This window comes from Homo sapiens, chromosome 6 (genome assembly GCF_000001405.40).
Source record: "Homo sapiens chromosome 6, GRCh38.p14 Primary Assembly".
NCBI lineage: Eukaryota > Metazoa > Chordata > Mammalia > Primates > Hominidae > Homo > Homo sapiens.
In genome coordinates this window covers 56,221,384-56,245,202 of record NC_000006.12, presented here as the reverse complement: position 1 = coordinate 56,245,202, position 23,819 = coordinate 56,221,384, and the positions used below count along the sequence as shown (strand labels likewise).

The 23,819-nt window shown below is 35.1% G+C and overlaps 1 protein-coding gene across 11 annotated transcripts in view; it reads left to right on the top strand.

Annotated features, from left to right (window-relative positions):
- Positions 1–23,819, top strand: part of COL21A1 (collagen type XXI alpha 1 chain) — a 337,539-nt gene that overhangs the window by 148,926 nt on the left and 164,794 nt on the right. The window contains exons 2-3 of one of the 11 annotated variants that reach the window (XM_011514925.4): positions 14,069–14,142; positions 19,292–19,343. The exons of 7 other annotated variants lie outside the window; for them this stretch is intronic. The gene's annotated coding sequence lies outside the window, so the exon portion shown is untranslated. Of the gene's footprint in view, positions 1–14,068; positions 14,143–14,206; positions 14,226–19,291; positions 19,344–23,819 lie in introns of those variants that run through there. 3 more of the 11 variants (XM_047419383.1, NM_001318751.2, XM_011514927.1) reach the window with 3 other exon arrangements.

The window sequence follows — 23,819 nt, the reverse complement described above, 5'->3', positions numbered from 1 at the left end:
TGAGAGAGCATCTAAAAGTGAGATGGTGTAGTCTCCAGGAAAGCTAGTTTAGAAGTACTATCTGGTGTTTCTTAGGTTCTTAACAGAGTGAATAAAGGAAACCCTATCCAGTTACATCATGATTTGTTCAAGAAAATATAAGAGGAAGCAAAATGAGGACACAGAGCAAGGACAAGCCTAAACTGGCAAAAAGAGTAGGTGAGGTAATGAGTCCTTTTCTTCCTTAGCTGCAATAATTTCAAAATGCTTCAAGTCACACACACATGCATACAATCAATTCCTTTCACATTATTTGATTGGAACTGATCTCTATTATCCTCTTAGGACCAAGTAGATCTAGTGAAAATATTTATGGTATTAATGCCAAAAAAGATGCCAAATGATTCTGTACTTTGAAATTAATTTCCATTCTCTTTTATTTTAGCGATAAGTTGAATAGTGTATTACTGAGAATGCCTTTTATGACTCATCTGGCATCTTTAAATGCAAGAGGTTGTAACCTGCTAATTACCAATCATATATGACTTCTATAAGACTAAACATAAAGCAAGTTCCGGCATCTAAGCACTTTAGTAAGTCCTCCATTCAAGAAATCAGATCTTCATTAGGATACTTTAAAAATTATAATTTAATGTTATTAAAATGATTAGAATTAGAATTTAATGTTATTAAACTAAATGTAATTCCAATTTATTATAAATAGGGTTTTCTATTTGACTCACTGTGGAAAGAGGAGGAGTAGCTGTGGGGATGAAAAAGAAGGTCAGAGGCATACCTGTTGTTGGGAAAAATGGAGACATATAGGAGCAAGTTCAGATTCTCAGTAATCAAATGCTGTGTTCTGGATAACTTAACTGAAAAGCTAAGAGAGTCTATGATGTTGCAATTCAGAGTGACAGATGGGGCAGCACTGCTTGCAGTGAATGGCCAACTAGGAATGATCAATATTGCAATGCCCCACAGTGACTTCATGACTCTCCTGTCATAGGTATAGGGTCCAGAGCAGATATAATCATAAAGAAGTTGTGCTTGGTTTACATAACCTGGCTCACTTAGAAATGTTCTGATGAGAGTTACCTGGCATTCATTTAGGTTCATTTTCAGGGCCCTCTTTGTTCCATAGTGGATGGTTTTACTATTAAGGTCAGTCTTGAAACTGTTGTGAGTAAGGCCTATCACAGGAAATGGATACGTGTTTTTATTTTGTATTTATTATCTTTGGATTATATTTCTCAGCATGCAATAGTAATTCTTTAGTTTGCTTCATTATTATTCTTGTGAGAAACAAAGTTGAAATGTTTATTTCTGGTACGTGGTCCAGTCTCATAGGAGGAAAATGAACCATGAGTCTAAATTCCCCAACTTTCTGCATAGACTCTTGGTTAAAGACAAGGTACTCTGCAGCCAGACTGCCTAGCCCTGAATCCTGACCTCATTACTTTCTAGTTGTTTAAACTTGGACAAGTTACATAATCACTTTTGCTTCTGTTTCCTCATTGGTAAAATTGGGGAAGTAGAACCTACCTCAGTAGGGCTGTTGTGAGGAGTAAATGAGTTAACATATGTGAAGTTCTTAAAACAGTGCCTGGCTCATAGTAAGTGCTTAATAAGAATTTGCTATTATTTTACTTTGGGCCTTAATGAATGCTTTAAGCTGAAGCTCTCTTTTCTGTTTTCACCTCTGAAAGTGAGATCCTAAAAGGAAATAGTAATTTAGGTTATTAATTTGGTGTTCCCATGATTTTTCTGTTTTATTTAATGGGATAATTTGTCTCAGAATAAGTGAGGTACTTAAAGTTTCTCAGAAAATAATAAATTTAGAACAACATTTTTGTAAGGTCCCAGTTGATACTACTGTGGCTGGCCAGAGACCACACCTAGGGAATCACTGCTTTAACCCACTGGTTAACCCACTTGACTGGACATTTGAATCACCTGAGAACAGTTTTTTAGACTGTGTTCTGTGTTAGAATGTTTGAAATTTATTGTGAAAAGAGTAAAGTAATCATGTCATTTATAAAGAGAGTCCCTGGAACATATCTACACACTATATTCATGGGATTCTCATGTACTCATAGAATTTTTAGAATGGTTAGGGATATTAGAATTTGCGTAATATAAATGAGGGAACAGGTTTGGAGATGTCATTCTTAGCCAAGGGCTCATGAAGAGTTAGTGGTGGCACTGGATAACAATTCATATTTTTTTAGTACTTTAATCCTACTTAGTACACTTTTCATTCAACTGTCTTGCATTCCAAAAAATCAGATAATGTTGACAAAGAGACGCACAATCCAACTTACAGAATACAACTGGAATACTACAGTTATACCTGTTCCACTTATCACAGTTTAATTTCAGGGACATTTACTTAAAATATTTCTTTAATTAAAGAGCACTGAAAGCAATATGTTTACAATGCCAAGAAAATAAATCTGAAGTTATCAGTTGTGAAAAAGATAATTTTTTCACCTTTGTCACTTCAAAGAATTCAATATAATTTTTTCTCCTTGTTGTTTCTTGGACATTTTGGTTTTTACCAATGAAATACTCAGATAAATCTTTGAAAATTTCAGGAAACATTGACAATTTTCTGAAGTCCAAGCTTAGTGACCTTCTGGGAATCCTGCCAGATGCTTGTGTTTGATTCAGTGCTTAGTTTTTGTTTGGACTTGTCTTGTTTTCATCTAGGTCAATTTAGCCATGATTGCAGTGTTATGCTACCCCTTAACTGTTTGTTTATGTACTCATTGGTGTCGAGAAGAAAAGACTAAGGACCAAGAAAAGAGATTTTTTTAATTCAAAGTAAAATGTTCTAGCGAAGTTTGAGCTTTTTAGAAAGTTCTTTTAAAAAGATTCTTTGGAATTTTAGTCTTTTGCATTAATTACGTAATGGAGTAAATAAAAGCACTCAAAGCTTATTTTTATATTTTTATGAGAACCTTTAAATTCATAGGTGATTCAATGGAAACAACTTATTAAAATATTAAATTAATATACTTTAACATTTTTAGACCTTGTTGTATACGTATTTTGCAACTTTATTAGGAAGAGAGAGTTTGGTTCCACTTATAGGGTATGTATAGGCATGTGTTTTCCAGCAGTACTCAGAAGATGGAATATTAAAGATAAAACAGGGAGGAACATTCCTTGTTAGTGTTCACCCATTCATCAAATAACTATTAAGTGTCTACCAAGTGGTTGGCTATCTTAGGTAAAGGGGATTCAGACAAAAAGTTGCTAAAGTCTGTTTCAGAGAGTCTATTAATAGCCAATCTGCTGTTTCTTTTTTAAAAATGAAAAACTCCCTTCAATTCATTATTGAAAAATATTTTGTAAATACCTTGAACAATGTAGAAGGCAAAATGCTTCTAATTTAAATTTAAAAACCTCAACAAGCATAGCATGATGTATCACTGGATTTCTTAAACCATTTTTGATTGTCGTTTGACATAATACTATTTATTAATCTTTAGAAAGTGTTCAATGTGGTTTGAAGTAATGTCTTGGCAACAAGTGGAGAGAGATTATCCCAGAGAGAAGCATTGTGGAGAAGGTAAATACCCAGGTCCTGAGAATCAGGCTGCTCTCCACCGTTTCCCTATTGATCATCACCTGTTCTCTTTGGCAGTTTGCCTTTGGATCATTTTACAGCTCTTTTACTTTTTTTCTCCCTGTTCAGATTCCTTGTTAGCTAGCAACACTAGGCTGAGTTTTGAAATGAGATAAAGAGAAATATCAACTAGGGATGATATGTGTCTCAGTTAGCCCAGGCTGCTAAAGTAAAATTCCATACAGCAGGTGGCTTAAACAACAGAAATTTATTTCTCATGTTTCTGGAGGCTAGAGAGTCCAAGCTCAAGGTGCCGGCCAATTTGGCTTTTGAAAGGGCTCTATTTCTGGCTTACAGAGAGTGATCTTTTTGTTCTTTTCTCATGATGAAGAGAAAGAAAACAAGCTCTCTGTCTATTTATAAGGGCCTACCAGTCCTGAGGGCACCAGTCTTGTTATCTAATTACCTCCGAAAGGCCTTGCGTTCAAATATCACCATGTTGGGAGTTAAGGCTTGTACACATGATTTTTGGGAGGGCAGCTTTCAGTTCATAGCAACATGATAATTGTTTTAACCAGAGTGGTATAGGAATGGACAGAGCTCCTACTTGGGTGCCTATGGAATGGGGAGGGAGCAGGGTTGAAAAGGGAAAGTAAGATGCAGAGCTCTTAATGGAAGCAGAGGCACTTGGAACCTAATTCAAACTTTTGTATTTTTGTAACGACAGCAAACATGTGAGTGTGAAGTGTGAGCGATAGGTACCTATAATCTAAATTATGTGTCATTTCTACACTACTATTTAGATAATGTTAATATTGACATGTCAAATACTAAATAAAGGCCAAGAAGACCCTGGGCTGGGAAATGGCTTCTCATCCAGCCTGCCACCAACTTACTGAGATGCTGGAAGCTTAGAAAAGCCTGCAGTAAGGAGAGTTAGACAGGTGTGCTTGCAAAGTTCTCTTTCATTTTGCCATTTGTATATTTTTCTTAGTTAAAAGCACCATTATAGGCCATCATGGAACATCTAAAGGGTTGCATCTGAGAGCATCTCTATATAGAGTTTAAGTCAGCATGAAGTCATTGGATCCTTTAGGAAATTGGTCTACTGAGAAATGTAGAGTTTATTTATTCCTAAGATTCCTATTGAGGTATATCTCAGTTCATTTTATGCTGCTATAACAAAATACTTGAGACTGGGTAATTTATAAAGAACAGAAATTTATTTCCTCACAGTTCTGGAGGCTGGAATCTAAGATCAAGGCACTGGCAGTTCTGTTGTCAGGTGGAGGCTGCTTCCAGGGTGGCGCCTCATGGCTGCACCCTCCAGAGGAGAGAAACACTGCATCCTCACATGGTGGAAGACTAAGGGAAAGCCAGCTGAAAGCTGCCTGAAACCTCTTTTATAACAGCTTTGTATTATTCTGTTCTCACACTGCTGATAAAGACATACCTGAGACTGGGTAGTTTATTTAAAAAAAAAAAAAAAAGTTTAATGGACTCACAGTTCCATGTGGCTAGGGAGGCCTTATAATCATGGTGGAAGGCAAATGACACATCTTGCCTGGTGGCAGACAGAGAAAATGAGAGCCAAGCGGAAGGGGTTTCCCCTTACAATACCATCAGATTCCTGAGACTTATTCAACCCCATGAGAACAGTATGGGGGAAATCATCCCCATGATTCAATTATCTCCCACCAGGTCCCTCTCACAACACATTGGAATTATGGGAGCTATGATTCAAGATGAGATTTGGGTGGGACACAGGCAAACCATACCAGGCTTTAATCCCATTCATATTGGAGGAGCCCTTATGGCCTAATCACCTCCTAAAGGCCTCACCGCTTAATACAATCACATTGGCATCATGTAAATTTTGGAGGGGACACATTGAAACCATAGCAACATACTTGAATGTTCACTGAGGATGGTTGTTACTGTGAATGGTGAGTAATAACAGCTTTTTCTTCCAAACAAATTGTAAACTCTTTTTCATGATGACTAAACAAATTTATCTTTGACATCTATGTGGAAATTATATAAAAAATTTTTTTCACTGGTCTTTCCAACACTTGAAAAAAAATTTTAAATTTGAATTATGGCTTTTTGTTGGAAATCATGTTTATATGAGTAATCAAATTATATTTTTGAGCTCTAAATTACATGTTTCCCAAAATGTTAACAGTTGTGTTTGGGTTGTGAGATGGTAGACGTTTTTATGCTTTTCTTTGTTTTCTCATGTGTATTTTTAAATACATGTATTATTTTTATGATGCAAAAATGAATACTTAGATACATGCTTTGTATATGGAAACATTTGGAATTATAATTTCAAATTCCTATACAAGTGAGAGATAATGATTGTTAGAATGTGATTAATTGATGTTCCTATAATTCATAAAGTACATGTTGTGCCAGATGTACTTAGACACTAATTAGAGATGGTAATATCTGGTGAAGATGAAATAATTATTTCTAAAAAGCAGAAAATATTATTACTCCTTGTGAATGCAAAAAAATAGTTACATGCTCTAATACATTGAGGCCATATAGAGTAATAGCTAAGATTATGAGTGTTGTATGGTTGTGGCTCTGACATTTACCACTTGTGTGACTTTGTGCATGGTGCTTGACCTTTTAAAGCTTAATTTGCTATGTGTCAAGTGTGTATTCAGAGGACCTACTTCATAGTATGGTCAGAAGGTTTAAATAAAACAATGCACATAAACCCTTTGGCATAAGGGCTGGCAGATACAAAGTATTCAGATTAGTTCAAATTAGTTATTATCATAAGTAATTTTCTCCTAAGCTTTTTCACACTTACATTTGAATCCCTATGTTTTGGAAAGCTTGTTGCTTCTTTAGGTGAGAATATTCTTCATGTAACTGAGGACCTGGAGCAGAGGCAAATCCAGATTTTAGCCATTATCCACCTAGTACTTGGGAGAGGGAACTGAGAATGCAGGAGAAAGGTATCTGCTGAAGGTGGCAGGGCAGTGGCAGCTCTATCAGAAGCTTTTGAGGTAAAGCTTTGTGGCTGTAGGTGTTGATTCTGGGGTCCATGAGGCTGTCAGTCTTTGCTGTAATGGCACAGTTGTAGTCACTGTGGTGGTTGGGTGAGACTGAGGGTATCCTCAGGTCTCGCTTGTAACTGCAAGTGGTTTGTGGTGAGCTCCTGGATTTAGCAATTGTGGAGGCTTTTTTTTTTTTTTTTTTTTTAAGAAGACTGCCCCGAGTTTCAGCATCCACTGCCTTCTCAGCAGGTGCCTTCATGCTTCTGCAGTCCAGATTTGCTGTAACAGTATAGATATGCATCAATTTATCCATTCAACAAATATTTATTCAGCCTTTTCCATAGAGTAGATGAGGTGCTAGGGATGCAGCCCTAAATATGACATGATTCCTGTCCTGGAGCACTCAGTTTGTTAGTCAGTTTCCCCTTAGATTCTCTGGATGCCATGATTGGTTGTCATATCACAAGGCTCCCAGCCCTAATCAATTGCTGCTTATAGTAGAGTACTTTGAGCAGGTTGTTGATTGTTTCATACCCAGTAATGTGAAGGCTAATAATTGGAATATGTGGTCAGATCTATGTTCTCCTCAAAACTGTGGTGAAGTCTGTGTATGTAATGTACATAAATTTTTACATGGTATTTAGACTAACCACGTAGTCTATTAAGCTAAAAATAAAACAAAAACACCATAATTGAATTGAATGAACTGAGGCTTTATAGAATACAGCTGTGGAGGCACTGGGAGAATCAGAATCAATTACTTTTAGACTATACATCTCAGAATACTGGAAAAAATGTGAATATTTTTGACCTCTGATTCATTCTAAATTAATTAAATGAATGTCCAGTTGCCTCTGTAGAATAGTTAGAGCCATTTATGTATGTGTGTTTCCTTAACTGTGCCTCTAAATATTTTTAATTTTCAGGTAGAGAGTGTAATTTCACATTCGACATTTTTGGCCAGACTTATGACATTATTAAATGCTAAGGTTGACTAATTTAATAAATGTACATTTTAAATTATTCTATGCCACTTTGGATATGGTTGCTAAGTTGAGTTCCAAATCTCCTTTCTAGTAACCTGTCATATTTTTGAGCCTTTGGCCTAAAGAGCCTAAGCGAGATTAGAGAAGCAATTATATTTTTACATTTTCAAACTTGATTTGAACACTAATGACTTAATTTAAAACCTAAATGTGTTTATGCTTTCTACTTTATCTACTCTTTCATTTTATCCCTAAGGATTAGCATTTATCATAAAGTTAACTGAGGAAAACATTTTCCTTTTTAAAAATTTCATTGTTTTTGTATTGCCAATGCTTAGACAGGGCAAACCTGTTTTACTCAAGGGAGTGTCCTCAGGTAATCAGGACAGTATAGAGCTGCAGACTTTTCAAGTTGCAATGAAGACATGTAGCCCTGGTTCTTTAGAGTGCACTACTTTGCTACTGTCTATTACTGTAGACTCTAGAGAATTTTAAAATTTGGCTTTTTTTCCTTTCGAATTTTTCTTTTCCTGGGATTTCTGTTTTCTCAGAGCCATCTATTGATAGGTTCTCACGTAAAAACAGGGAGAAAAAGGCACATTTTGCTCTCATCAAAAGCTGTAAGAATGGATTTCAGTTTTTATAACCATTGTTTTCAATAGGGAGTTGAGAAGTTTTAAATGGAAAAATATAGAAATTTTAAACTATCAAGATGGAGAGGCACCACCAGGAACTCCCAAATAGTCATTACTGTATATTTCATCACTTTCGCAGCAAGGAGGTATTGTCAGCTGTAAAAACATTGAATATATGCCATATGAGAACAAGAGGAGCAATGAGTAGACAAGTTTAATTTCAGTGGCCATTAGGTACTTAGTAGATTGAGGCAAGCCATAGCCAGATTGCTTATGATACAGTTGTGAGATGGACTATTTTAAATACAATTTTTAGAAAGCAAACTAATACTCTGTTTAATTGAGTTCCATATGGTCTAATGCTAGAGGTAAGCACTGTGGAAGATATCATCTGTTTTTGTCATGATTTGCTTCATGGAGGAGATGGGGCTTGACCCAGCCTTTTGAAGCATGCTTCAGTTTGAACAAATGTTTCTGTTTAGACACACTCTAGTTAACACAAGTCATAGGGCTGGCAGTATCCTACAAATTGTTGTTCGTGATATGAGTATTGTTTATCCCAACAATTCTTGATGCCTTAACCCCTCCCTATAGCATACATATTGAGCATAGTTTCCAATACCAAACACCTCCAATGATGGGAAACTTTCTATTTTAGGGAAATCCCCATCTATTGGAAACTTTTTTCTTAAACTGAAAAACTTCTCCCTGGAGTTTCCAGGCTTTAGACCTAGTTGTGTACTCTGGGAGTGACAGAAACAAGCCTTATTTCTTTTTCCATGTTCCCAGCATTTGAAGACAGCTAATATATGCCCCAAGTGGAACATCATATTCTGAAACCACTTCTTTGAGATGGTTTGTGTTTATATCTCCACTCTTGTCAGCCTTCCCTAAACACATTCAGTTTTGATATCTATGGCCATTGGTTGCTTAATAGAAAGGATGTAGCCGTATTCTTTCCTCAATGTAGTTCAAGAGCAAATTAATTCTTGACAGCCAGTTCACATGAATGAATTCAATTTGGTATCAGCTAAGACCATTTAGTCAACTCAGACCTGTTGCTGTTAAGCCACTTTATTCCTAATGAGCATTCTACAATCCAAATTTTGGATCCCAGAAGTTTTGTATTTCTTTTGAATTTTGCCTTGTTGCAGTGGTCTCTTATTTATTCAGTTAAGATTTTTTTTTTGTCCAAAGTCTTCTATTCCATCAGTTAGTCATCTTTCAAGGTATGCTTTGTCTAGAAATTTAATTTGCAAGCCATCATCTCCCTCATTCAAATTATGAATAACCAATTAGACAGGGAAAAGCATAGAACTCTAAAACATACCACCAGAAACCTCCTACCAGGCTGACATCAGGTGTTATTCTTCATTAGGGGGCCATTTAAATAGTCTTATATCCAACTGACATTAATTCATTTTCATTTTTGAACTATCACGAACAGTATTCCCCTGATGTCAGCCTAGTACAGCTATCAAAGAAGTACAGGTTAGTTTTATATGATCTATTTTTGACACTTAGCAAGCACTGCAGAGTGTTCAGTGACTCATTCCTTTTATAAGTTTTGTAAGTGCTCACAAACAGAAGTGAGGCTTAGAATATTAAACAATCAGAAAAGCCAGAACATCAGCCAATTGGAGTGGGTTCAGATCCAGTCAAAACAAATGTGCATACACAATCTGTACAGCAACCTTGCTTTGTACCAGCTGAATATAGGCCTGGTTCACAATTGTTTTTAAACTTCAGGCTTGTGGGTTTACCAGAGGCATATATATGCATTGCTATTCATAGCTATTTCTGTTCCCTTTTGCCTCCCATTTCTTTATTGCATATACAGATTACTTATACCAAGTTTCTGTAAGTTTATGGTGTTTATTACCTAGACCCTGAACATTAATCTATAAGCCACAAATTAAGGTGTGTTTTCAGATAAGCCTTAGAGCTATGAATGGAAATGGCTTATTTAAGGGACTCAATATAACTTGCCTAGTAGGAATGGAAGGTTTAGGTGCGGAGAAGTAGGAAATAAGATGTTTCAGTATGCACGAACTGAAGTCCTTGAGTGGAAGCAATCACTGGAGCAGGGGAAGATGTTGTGTTTTCTGGATGAGGGGCAGTGATCAGTTGGCTAAGAATACATTTGTCAATAGTCTGCCAAAAACCAAAAGGCCAAAAGAAAATGACCAATCAGGAGAAAGGATAGCTTTTAAGAGATGAATATGAGAAAGCATGACAAGAGTGATTAAGAGTGTGTGATTTTTTAAGCAGAGGAAGATAAAGGAGGGAAGTGCGAGAGTATGGGTGAGGGAGCTATTGAATTGGGAAATGAGGAGGTCATTAGTCTTCAGGTGAGCATTTCTGCTGGTGATGGAGATGAAAGTGCAAATTTTTTGTATTTTAGAAAAAAAAATCCTAAATGTGTACTATTAGGGAAAACGTTGCCTTTTGTATTGATTATGAAGCAGTGTTAAAAATGATGTTTAACAGTAAATGTGTCTTTAGAGATAATAGAAAATATAGAAAGTAAATAACTTTATAGAAAATGTTCATGACAAAATATTGAAAGAAAATGGTTACAGTTTCATAACTTATTTCTTAGGAAGTGCATCTTATATAAATATGAAATATTCCTTTTTGATCCTGTTTAATACTTTTGCTTTGAATTCTATTTTTCATACTATATTTATTTTCTTTTATTAGTATTTACCTAGTAAATTATATTTCTGCCCCTTTATATTCAACATTTTCTGTCACTGAGTTTTAGGTGGATTTCTTGTAAACAGCATATACAAAGACTTTAAAAAACACAATTTCAAATTTTTCTGGATTCCAAATAGGCAAATTACCCATTCAACTTTATTATGATTGCTAATATGTTTGGACTTTTTCCTTGAAGTTTACTTATGTTTTCTGTTTTTACCATGCTTTCTTGTCTTTTATTATAATGATTTTTTCTGTTATTTGGAATTGTTTGCTTTATTTTCCTTTTCTACCAGTCATCTCTGGAAGTTATAATCCTATTTATATCATAATTGTTATAATTACATTTCTACGTATTAACTAAAACATATTTTCCTATTAATGGCTGATTGGTATCAATTACCCCCTCATTGTTTTTTAGCTTCACTTTTGTGATGAGAAGTCTCTAGACAAGCTAAATTTATTTCTTTTTAGGCATCCTGCCTCTCCCCCAAACACTTAGGATTTTTTTGCTCTATTCTTTGAATTATAACTTTTCACAAAAATATGAAATAGGTCTTTTTTTTTTGCCTATTCAAGCAGCTTGATATTTGTAATGCTTTTTCAGTTTGAAGAATCAAATGTTAATTTAGCTCTGAAATTTTTTCCTTTACCGTTTCTCTCCTATATTTCTCCATATGTCTCTTTTTAGTTTTTTCTTCTGAATATTCTTCTGAAATATTTTGTAAAATCTGTGTTCTTTTGCATTGTAATCTGGTAGAAGTTTTCAACTTGATTTTCCATCTAGCTATTTCCATCTTCAACTATATCCATTATTAAGTTTTTAATTTTCTAAGATACTAATTGATTTTCTCTTTTTATTCACTAATATTCTTACATATATATTTGAATATATCAATTAGATTTAACTGAGTCCTTTTACTGTTATTAACTGTTTCTATGGCTGTTAATGTATTCATTGAGCTCATGGTTTTTCTTCATGTTGCTGGTTTTTATTGATATTTGTTCACTCTTATTTGTTGCCTATTTTCGTGTTTGCAATTTTGTATTTAAGACTATCTGGAGCTTGCCCCCAATAATTATAAAGTTGGGCAATGTATTAGTGTCTTATTTATTGGATATGGCTGCTTCTTCTCTTGGGTTTTGCTTGTGGGGAAGCTACCTGGGGCCTGTCTTGTCAGTCTAGTCTAAGTGCCCAAACTCATAGATTACTGTGGATACAAATAGAAGGAGTTGCACAGTGTTCAAGAGGCCACTCTTCCTCATTTGTGTAAAGTATATCCTTCTCTGAAAGGCACCTACCTCTGTCAGAGCACTTTTCTTCCCCCTGCTCTGAGAATTCTTTTACTTCCAGCTCTGAGTATTATTGTTCTTCTAATCTTCCCAGCAATATAGGCTATGGAGTTGTAGAGGTATCCCATTCAGTGTTAATCTGACAATATTCAAAAGCACCTGTAATTATAGAAAGGAACAAGAGTCATTTTGATATCTGCTTTATTACTTCTACTATGTAGTGAACATTTTGGACCAAGCAATATGTGGCTCTAGGGATCTTGTTTGCAATTTCTTATGAAAAGCATTTGGATGATGTAGTAAAATAAGAGCATCTCCTTTTGGATAAAGTCTGACATACTGTAATTCTAAGACTGCACTTGGCACATGCTTGAGAAATGTCTGTTTTTCAGGATGAACGAAGTCCAGTGCAGCTGTTTCTGCTTTACACCATTGAATCTGAAAGTCCTTATAACAGAACGTAGCCAACTGACTTTGGAGTGAACAATGAGATAGGAGAGTTTCCCACCTCATGAATCTCCTGCTTTGTAGGAAGCAAACTTGATAACAATACTGTCTTGAGTTTATACAACATAACCCCTTTTAGAGATCTGTTCTGCAAGAATTTTTCAAAATATTTAATGACAGTATCAATGTTTGTAATTCACTTTGTCACACTAGTCTAACATAGCAGAGTTTAAAATATCTTTTTAAACATTGCATATTGTTCTTGTTTTCTAAGATGTGAGGCAAAATATTTACTAATTAGAATGATTTTTAGTTCTCTTGAGTTGCTTTTTCCCAGGATGTTTTCATTTTTTACTCAGTTGGAAGTATAGTATTGTCAATTTTCAGAATGCCAGACATAGATTTATTCAAATATAAGAATAAGACACATTCCAGTGCCCAATTATATGTCTTTCCCAACTCTCCACAATTTAAGGTTATATGTACTAGTTCTCTCTTGCCATCCCACTTGGCAGATAGTCAACATTTGACTGTAGTGTTCATTTGCTAACTTTTTTTGTGTGTGTTGAAAACAATGTCAAATAGTTTAAGAAATCTCATATGTTGGAGTCCTAAACCATATACTGCAAGAAATCAGTTGGATTTTTGAAGTGCTTGTTACTCATTTAAAAGGAAGAACATTTTCATGGGATTATTTTTCATCTTGATAGCTTAGCAATCAAAAAACTTATGAAAAGAGAATGATCTGAATGTTACCGTATATGTCTTTGGAGCTCTTTAAAAGTAATAGAACTAGCGATAGATATTATAATTTTGATCATAAAATGTTAATTATAGAAAAGTCATAACATATTAGATCTAGTGGATCCAGTTTGAATAATGAAACTGAATGACTTTTTTTGCAGCTTAGAAAGCTGATTATTAACCATGTATTTACTAGTATACATAATTGGTAAAATATTTAAGACAATAGAATGGTAGCCAATTGGAAATGGAAGAGATTCTCAAATTTGCTTATCTTCTCAGCCCCTGGTTTTACAGAGGAGATACTGAAGTCTAGCCAGGCTTGTTTTCTTGCTCAAATTCCTGCAATGTCTTAGTGGTCTTGGTTGGGATACAGAGAGTCTAGTTCTCAGTACTATCCTCTTTTACCCACACCTAGCTGAATAACGCCAGGAAAGAACTGAATATTGTGACTCATCACTTTTAAAAAAGTTGCTGTTACCGAACTGAATATAATGCTTCCTTTACTAACAAATGCAGGATGTTTATCATTTTTCCATACCAGAGCTTCCTTTTATATGGTAAGAAATCGCACACCAAGTTATTTTTGAAGATAGTCTTTTTATTTTCCGTTCTTTTAAACATAGTCATGTTTTATTTGGGTCTCCTGAATGTCAGGATGGTATTAATTCACATTGATTGTTTCTTCCTCAGGAAACCTCTTCTGGCATCCTTAGTAAATGGCAGTAGAGTCATCTGGGAGGTAAAAGAAGATTGTACCATGTGAGGTGTGTTTTATTCTTGGCTGGTCAGCAAGCATTTTTCCTGTAGAAACAAAAGGCTGGCTTTTGAACTGGTGGTGCTATGAAGGGTAGGTAGGAAAAAGCATGGCAGTTTATTTGAGGGAAGGGTAGAAAACACTGATTGGAGCTCGTATATTTAAGTAAGCAATTATAAACCTTTCACATGGGTGATAGAAACTAAGAGTTAAGATGAATTTATTTTGGAAATGAAAAATTTGAAACTAAATTGATAAATGACATGTTTCCCATAAACATGTACAGCTAGCGTATTTCAAATTTGTATTTTCTCAGTTGAAAATAAGAAATAAAACATTTAAAATTGTGCAATATTAAGCATGTGGTAAGGAGTTAGATACTCATACAAAAGGTATTTTGCAATTGATTATGGTTTTGAAGTGTGATTTCTTCCCTTAAACATCAAAAAATAATAAGGCTGATAAAAATCATCACCTTATAAAACATGACAATACTTTATGTTAATAACAATACAAACTAAAAAAAATTATATTACAATTCATCCTCATCAAGGATGCCATTTGAATTAATATAAGAAGTATATCTTTTCCTTAAAAAAATAAAATGAGGCTGTACGGAATTAAGAAAAACTTTGGAAACTTGACTTTTTTTATTTTAGGAGAAATAAAATGTAATTATACTCTTAGCACTTGAAGGATGCTAAACATTGAGTTTGCTTTATGATATTTCTTGACTGATTTATCATTGAGAGACCGTACTATTAAAAAAGAGTAAAATGTTGACTGAGTTCTTTGAGATTGATACAAGATTCCCCCAGCCTTTCACAGAGTCATAGGACACTGGACTAGAAAAACCTAGTATGGAAATTGTTATGTTTCCATATATCTGGCTTAGTTGGGACTCCTATAGAAAAATGACTTTCAATTTTTTTTACAGGACCCACAGGAAGAAATAAATTTTACATTGTGACACATCTGTATTTATTCGAAATATGTATACCAAATATATCATAATATTTACCTTTTGTACATGCAATGTGCTCTGACATTTTCTGTTCCCTTCCATTCTATTAAACACTGTTGGTCATAGACCACTGAGTTGATTTCAAGATCAACCAATGGATCGTGATTTGCATTTTAAAAAACACTACCATAAAAATCCCTCCAGTTTTTTGTTGCTGCTGGTGGTGGTGGTGGAGGGGATGAATTTGTACTTATAGGAGATTCTTATTAGTTCTGTTTGTCAAATAAATTTCAGGTACACAGTCAGATTACGTTTTCTGGCCCCATGATACTCATGGCCAACGAGCTGAGTGGAAATTAACATATATTTCTGCACTGGAACATTTATTTTCAGTGTGAGAACCTCCAGAGCTCTTTACCCTTACCTTGGAAAATGACCATACTCCTCAGACTCAATCCTAAAATGAGGAATGTGGAGCAGAGCCACTAGACAGCTCATAGTGGACGTAGAGTATGAGCAAAAAATAAATGTTTGTTGTTATAAGGCACAACAATTTTTGGATATATTTGTTACTCAGCATAATCTAACCTCTTGTGGTTAGTGTACGATAATTCAATTATGTGTTTTGCTGGTGGAGCAGAGTCTCCTTTCGAGATATTAACTTTATCTAAAACATATGTAAGTTTAAAAATATGTTTATTATTTCTGATTTTAAAATAATGCATATTCTGTTGTTTTTGAGACAGGGTCTCTCTCTATTGGCCAGGCTAAAGTGCAGCAGTGCAATTCAAACTCCTGGGCTCAATGGTTCTGTCCTCTCAGGCTCCTGAGTATCCAGGACTACAGGCATGAGCCACCATGCTCAGCTAATTAAAAAAAATTTTTTTTTGTAGAGACAGGGTTTCTCTGTATTGCCCAGGCTGGGCTTGAACTCCTGATCTCAAGCAATTCTCCTGCCTCAGCCTTCTAAAGTGCTGAGATTCCAGGTGTGAGCCATCATACCCAGCCAAAATAATGCATATCCTTTATAGAAAAGTTGGAAAGCATCAAAAAATAAAAATTACATATCCATAATGCTATTATCTGGAAGTAACAATTTTTGACATTTCTATGAAAGAGATATAATATCACATAATTAGCTTACTATATAGTTTTGCATTTTTTTGCATTTGTTCTTTTATTGATATTTTTAAAATTGTCATTAAGTATTCTTGGAACATTTGAATTTTATGCCTCTGTAGTACTCCATCATATGGATGAACCAGCAATTACTTAGTTATTCTTGTACTTTAGTCATTTGTTTTATTCCATACAAGGAGTTTTAATGGACTAAAAATCTCACCCTTGACACTCAAAAGCAAACAGTAAGCCAGACCAGAATCCATGTCCACTCACTCTGCTTAGCGTCAGTTGCATCTCCCCATTACTCAAATCCTGGCACACAGGGGGTCTATATATTCACCTGTCAAGTAAGCATTTTCATCTGTCCATACTTTTTTAGAAAATTAAGCACAAATTTCATGTATGAACCATTTCATGTCCATACATGAAATTTGTGCTTAATTTTCTAAAAACTAAGATGCTTTATATTTCTTCTCCTCTACCCTCTAGCAGGAAAATTTGGTTTATATTTCCTGAATTCTTTCAGGGAAAGACATCACTATCTACAAGACGTTCAAGCCAGAGGCTGGGGTCATTCTCTTTCTCCTGTCCACTGCAATCAAACAGTCATAGGACCTGGCCCGTTTTAACTCCTGAATGCCTCTCAAATCACTTTCTGCTCTCACTGTCCTTCAGGCCCTTACTGCCTCTCATTTGACTGCTGCCATAAACTTTCCATCTTCCTGTACACCATTCTCCCTACTGCTGCCATTGTGAGCTTTCTAAAATGTGAACAAGAATATGTTTCTCTCTGCTAAAAATCCCTCCTGTAGTAAACTTTAAAGACAAAGTCCACTCCTCTTCACTTAATGCAAAAGACCATGTTCCTGCTCTGTTTCCTGAGTACCTGCCCCATCATTCATTTCCTTCACCCCTCACCCCTTTCCCACTCTCCATGGGCGGTTCACTTCATAAATACCTTTTCACTGAGCACATCTTGTTCTTTAGTGATTTTAAGCATTTTCAGGTACTATCTTCCTGTCTTCTTAAGGTCATCTAGCAAATCCCTGGTTTGCCTTTAATTCACAGATGAACTTTACTTCCTCTCAGAGAATGTACCCATTTCCTCTCAGCCAGCCAGGAACTAGGTATTCACTCCACCAAGCTCCCAGTGCCTAGCACATACCTCCATTAAGGTCTCTATTATTGTATTGTAGTTATATATTTGATATCTTTTCACAAAAACCCTATACTTGCTGAGGCTATCACTAGGCTTTCTCATCTGTGTATCCTCAGTGCTTTGTACATTGCCTGAATAATAGTAGATGACTGTGCATATTGTGGAATGAATGGATAAACAGACAAATAGTAGTGGGAAAATATGTATTAAATTTTATCTCTTGATGATTCTTTCTTTTACAATCTAAACAACCAAGCTTCATGTATTTTTCATATCAGAACCAACTGTCAAGACAGGATCTGAAGTTCATTTACTCTGAAGTGTAATAACTGATAAAAATTTATGTCTCCCAAGGGGGTTTTTATTGAACAAGGATGGAATGCTTAATCTAAAGAAAGGAACCTTACTTAGTAGAATTTCCCACAGGCTTAACAAGCGTATGGGATTTGTTTTAATTGGGGATTGGAGGTGGGACTTAGAGGTTTTCTCTTTACTCCAAATAGTCCATAGGCTTTGTCTAGATATGAGACCAGTTTTCTTGCTTGCTGGCTCACAGCATGAACTAGCATGTCATATTACACAGCACATTCATTTTTGTTTCTATTATACAGCATAGATCATATGAACTTCACATCTGGTAAACATTTGTACATTGAATGTGCAGCTGCCAAGAATTGTGGTTTCTTGGTAGCATCCCAGTGACGCTGAGTCAAGGTCACAAAACCAGCATTGCAGAGTTTTCATGATCTGGAACTGTATCCTGCTTTTACTTATTGAGAAAGTTGCTCTCTTAGTTCGTTTGAGGACCTGTCATGGCACCATTTTAAGTTTGGAAAATAACTTGGGCGATTCAAAGTCCATTATACTGTTTGTGGGCTCCCCCTATACGAGCCATCCCACAGAGATGGGAATCTTATCTACTTAAAAAAAATCCAAAGAAAGTATTTCTTAATTCTTCTCAGTGACCTGTTTTCAAAGTTTGATAGTCTCTTCGAAAGTTTCATTGTCATAACAACATAACTCTTCCCTAATTTAGTTTTATCACCTTGCACTGTTTTTTATGGAAGTGAGGAACATTGGATTTTCATATAAACTGCAGTGCTGAAGATACCAGTGCATTGCACCATAAAAGCAAACCAAACAACACCATCACACAAACAATTCAAGATAAATTAAGTTAGGAAAATGGGGTTTCACAGTGTGACTCAAATTAGGCTTGCCAGTTAGCTTTGGCCTCCAAATGGAAGTCTAACATTTTGGTGTGTGGTTTATATTTTCAACATCCTTAGTGAATTCTGTCTTGAAAAGCCAGATACCATTAATATAATGGAGGAACTGGTTTATTTTATATTGATATAATATATAAAGCTTTTAAAAATGTTTCATGATAGTTACCTTTTCCCTCTGGGATTATGAGGAAGAGGGACAAATATCTATCTCTTGAAAGTTACAGTAGAATCATTAGTAGATGTGTTCATATACATTAAATAACGAGGAACATTTTGTAAAAAGTTACTTTGCTCTTCTTTCTAGAAAGGAATGATATAACATTCCTATATTTCCAGGTGAAGAAAGCAAAGTGACTTTTTTTGGTATACACCTGACTGTAAAAGCTACCCTGTAGGTAATTCGGCTATGCCCTACACTTATTTTTCTCCCTGATGTTAAATGAATTAACAATTGGTAACATTCCTAAAATTAGATTTGAAAAGAAAAAGTCAAGATATTTGGATTCTTTAAACAATTCTATGTACTATTTGTACTCTTATTCTTGGGAAGAATATTTGAAATAAGGTGAGAAAAGGACATCATGAAATGCAGGCATAATACTCTTTGTAACTTCCAGAAACATGTACACCACAATGAAGACAGGATGCTCTGTGATTAATCTATTTAAACACTGTATGCTTCCAGGGATCTCCTACCCAGGAAACAAAGCCCACAGGAAGACCATCACATAGGAATGGTAAGACATCTCAGGCACTTGGGTGACTAGCTGTGTCTAATTTTACCTTCTGCCATTCTAGAATTACTCAAACTTAATTTCAAAATACTCTTTTTTGTTCCCGTAATTATTGTGTTTCTTGTCTTTTTAAAGTAATTAAATTTTAAAAAGACTAAAAAAATTAAAGGCCATGAATATGTTTAAAATTTGGAATCCTTTTGTTTTTATGCCAAAGTTCTCATCAGATTATTTTCTGATGTAGATTATTTTTCATTGAGTACCTGAAAATAGCACATCCTTTGGACAGGAACAAGCTGAAAATTTGCCCAAGTGGCAACCTGTAGGCAGCCAAATACCAGGTCTCTGCTGTCAAGTACATTTTTGTTGCCTTCATTCCACTAGCTACCATAGATTCTGTCTGGGCTAGAGTAGAGAACTTAGCTACTTAAGGCTTTCAAGTTTCCTTACTGAGGAGTGAGTAGTAGCCCACTCAAAGTGAAGCTCTAAAAGAGTTCAGAAATTTTGAGTCATTCTATCACTCAGCAGCAGGTGTTGGAATGAATGAAGACCAGTTGACCTAGTGGTTAGTTTCTTGATAGCTTGGGGGGTTTCAAAAAGATTTAAAGAAATGATTGTTGAGTACAGGGGCAGTTGTTTGCTTTAGTAGAAATCTTATTGTAACTTGCATAATGTCAAAGGAAAATGAAATGTTTTAAGGCTTTGTGGGGAAAAATTTAAAATTTGTGGCTTTGGAGGAGTCAGTGGTGTTTAAACTAATTTAGTGGTTAAAGTGATCATTTTTTAGAATTTGAGAAAAGGGCAATCTTTTCTGACTTTTTTTTCCTGGAGGGTCAGAATTTTGTTTTTCTTTCCCTGTTTATTACATTTTAGTTTTATGTTACAATTTACACTGCATGCATGGTATCTTGCTCAACAGCATTGCTGTTCTTTATCACCATGAGTTTGATGATGAGAGGTAGGTGGGAAAAGAGGTTGGTGTGATTTGGTTCACTAGTTGTGATAGGTTAAGTAGTACTTTTTGTTAAATAATGGAGTTTAATTTAACTATAATATTTCAGCATATTTGTCCAAATGAAATCCAGTATGTCATTGTTTTCATTTAATGGCCCATATTGATGTGCTTTTTCCATTAAGGGACTTGGTAAAACAGGGAAATATCAGAGAAAGAACGGCCCATAATGTCGATGTTTTTGTTTTGATTTAGTTACATCTGCTGATTTTTAGAAACCCAATCCTTTTTTGGTATTAAATATGATTTTTAAAAAATTCGTTTATGTCTCCCATATTCCAAAAAGACTGTGAATTATTCAGTAGCATCACTTATTGACATAAGGTATATGGGTTTCAGAATGAGAAGCATTAAAATAGTATTTTTGTTTTAATTACATATAAAATAAAGTACAGACTATGACACACTTTTGCTAAAGAAAATTGTAAGCCTCCACGTTAAGTCATGGAATTCAGCTATACATGGCTATTTGTTCTCTTTGTTTAAGAAGTAATTATTGTCTGTCTACTATTTTTATGTCAAGAACTATGAGCCTGAGATTTTACCCTACTTGCAAGCTAACTAGTCTGGTACAGTTTTATAGGTGTTGGCAGAGAGGAGACTGTTGAGTCAGGGACAAAAGACTTTATTACTCACAGCTTCATGTTTGCATTGGTTGCTTTTTCCCCTAAGCCCCGTGGGGTGATATGGAAGGACCCAGATAGATGCTATGTGCATAGTGGGTGTGTGTCATGGCTGAAGAACTCCAAGCTCAATAAATCCCCAGTCTTATAAAAAGGGTACTAGTAAATCTCTCCAATGTTTATACTGGAAAAAATTACCTTTCTTATTCCAGTCAGGAAACAAATTTGCCCTTATCCCAGGAGAGAGACACTGTCTCCCAAGGCTGTAGGGGATGTATCTCAACATCTTTGGGAAAATAGGTGGAAATAAGATGCACAGAACACTCCATGAGTATCTTCCAATACTTTACAGTTTAAAAAAATAAAATAAAATGTAAAATCTTAATGCATGTATCAATTAATTTACTTCTCATAAGGTGAAAGCCTTTTGGTGACTATCAAGATGAATCATGGCACATTTTGTTACTCTGGCAATAGCTAATGATGTTACACACTTGAGCATCTTTGATTTAAAGGTAGTTTACCATGAATGCATTATGCAAATATCATTCTACATTGCTTACAATTTTTATGTTTTTTTTAAAATTAATATTATCCCCTTACCCAAAACCCCAATGTAATAGCTGTAATTATCATAAGAAACATTTACTGGTGACTGCCAGAAAATTTTAATGTGTTTTGTTTGGCACATTAAACAAATGTGCTAAGCATGTAAAGAAAATTGCATAAACCTAGTACCTAAATTTTTAGAGGAATTTAATATAGTTTTTAAATTTAATGATTCAGTTACTTGGAAAAGCAAATAAATAAGTGTTTCAGTAAGTCATGTTATAGAATGAAGGATATTACTTATGGCATCCAAAGAAAGCCTGAATAAAATATGAAATAAGAAAGTACAGTCTTTCCCTTCATATTAGAGGGACACTTTTACTTTTCAGTGGGAAGACAAAAATAAGCTCAAGACAATAAAGAGGAAAATAATATTAAAAAAATAACATGCTCCTGTCCTCTCATCTACTGATGTTACTGTCAGTCATGATCAGCTTGACTTCAGATGAAAAGACAACAAATACATGAACTGATTATCCCAGAAAGTAATGTTGGAAGAACACGGTTTATCCCAGAAGTGACTGGTAGAGTAACAGCAATAAAAGCTTATCCAGGGATTCCAATTTTTTTTTTTTTGTTCTGAATAGAATGTGGATATCTCTTACTTTAATATAACTTTGTCAGCATTTAATAAAAAAAAAATACTGATTGAGTCACATGATACTCACTGGTATGAGAGCAAAAAATGTAAAAGGATGGTCAAAGTCAAGGACATAGATTAATCCACTCACCCTCCATTGTCAAAGCCACCAAGTAGGCTTCAGTTTTTTGGAAACTGTAAGTACTAATCTGTGTGACTCACTTTGAAATTCTTGCAAACATTCCCTGGGAGTCCCTTTTTTTTAAAGAATAGGAGCTTACACTGAATAAAAAGATATCTGATTGATAACCTCATGAAAATCCTCTAGGCTGAAAGCCACAGAATCTTTGTGTACATGATTTTTTTCTGAACCTTAAATGTAACCAGATGTATTTTCTTTTGATACTCTCCTACTCAACTGATTTAAATGAATGATTTGTCTTCTAATGGGAAATCTGTGTTTCATCATAGAAATGGATTACATGTCTTAAATTTAATTACTCCCTAGAGAAGCAATGCCTCTTTTGTTTTATATTCTTTAAATGTACTAAAGACTTATATAACAATTTTATTATAGGCATGAAATATTAGAGCTTTTTAGATGAATGGATGGAGAAACTTGAAAAATATAACCACCATTATCATGTGAGTGAGTAAAGTATAATAAAAATCCTCATAGACAACATTATTAACCTCCTATTTTACAATTAGTTGCCTGTAAAGCTAAAATAAAATAAAAGGAAAACACTTTCAATTTTTTTTTTTGAGACGGAATTTCACTCTTGTTGCCAAGGCTAGAGTGCAATAGCACGATCTCGGCTCACTGCAACCTCCACCTCCTGGGTTCAAGTGATTCTCCTGCCTCAGCCTCCCGAGTAGTTGGGATTACAGGCATGCACCACCATGCCCGGCTAATTTTTGTATTTTTAGTAGAGATGGGGTTTCACCATGTTGGTCAGGCTGGTCTCGAATTCCTGACCTCAGGTAATCCATCCGCCTCGGCCTCCCAAAGTGCTGGGATTACAGGTGTGAGCCACCATGCCTGGCCAACACTTTCAATTTTAAATGGACTCTATAGTTCATGGCCAAAGAATAAAAAGCAAATATAAGCCATGAAATTGTGTGTGTGTTTAGTAGCTTTCTCGATTTGCTTTTAAATTGTTTTTTGGCAATACTTAATCTATTTCAAAAACATTTTGATTCTGAAATAGAAGCATTACCATGGAAACACTGATAGTAAAAGAATAGAGCTATGTCAAACCTGATACAGAGAAGAATATCCAATAAATTCAAGTCTTTATAATATTTTATTTTTTATTTTTTAAAGAGAGTCTTGTTCTGTCACTCAGTGCAGTGGTGTGGTCATGGCTCACTGCAGCCTGGAACTCCTGGGCTCAAGCAGTTCTCTCACCTCACCTCCTGAGTCACTGGAATTATAGGTGTGTGACACGACAGTCAGCTAACTTTTAAAAATTTTTTATAGAGGCAGGGTCTTGCCATGTCGTCCAGACTGTTTTAAAACTTGTAGGCTCAAGTAATCCTCCTGCTTTGATCTCCCAAAGTGCTGGGATTATAAGCATGAACCACCGTGCCCGACCCTTTTCAATATTTTAAACAAATTGAGCTTTTACCTTAACTGCCTTATTTGGGCAGAG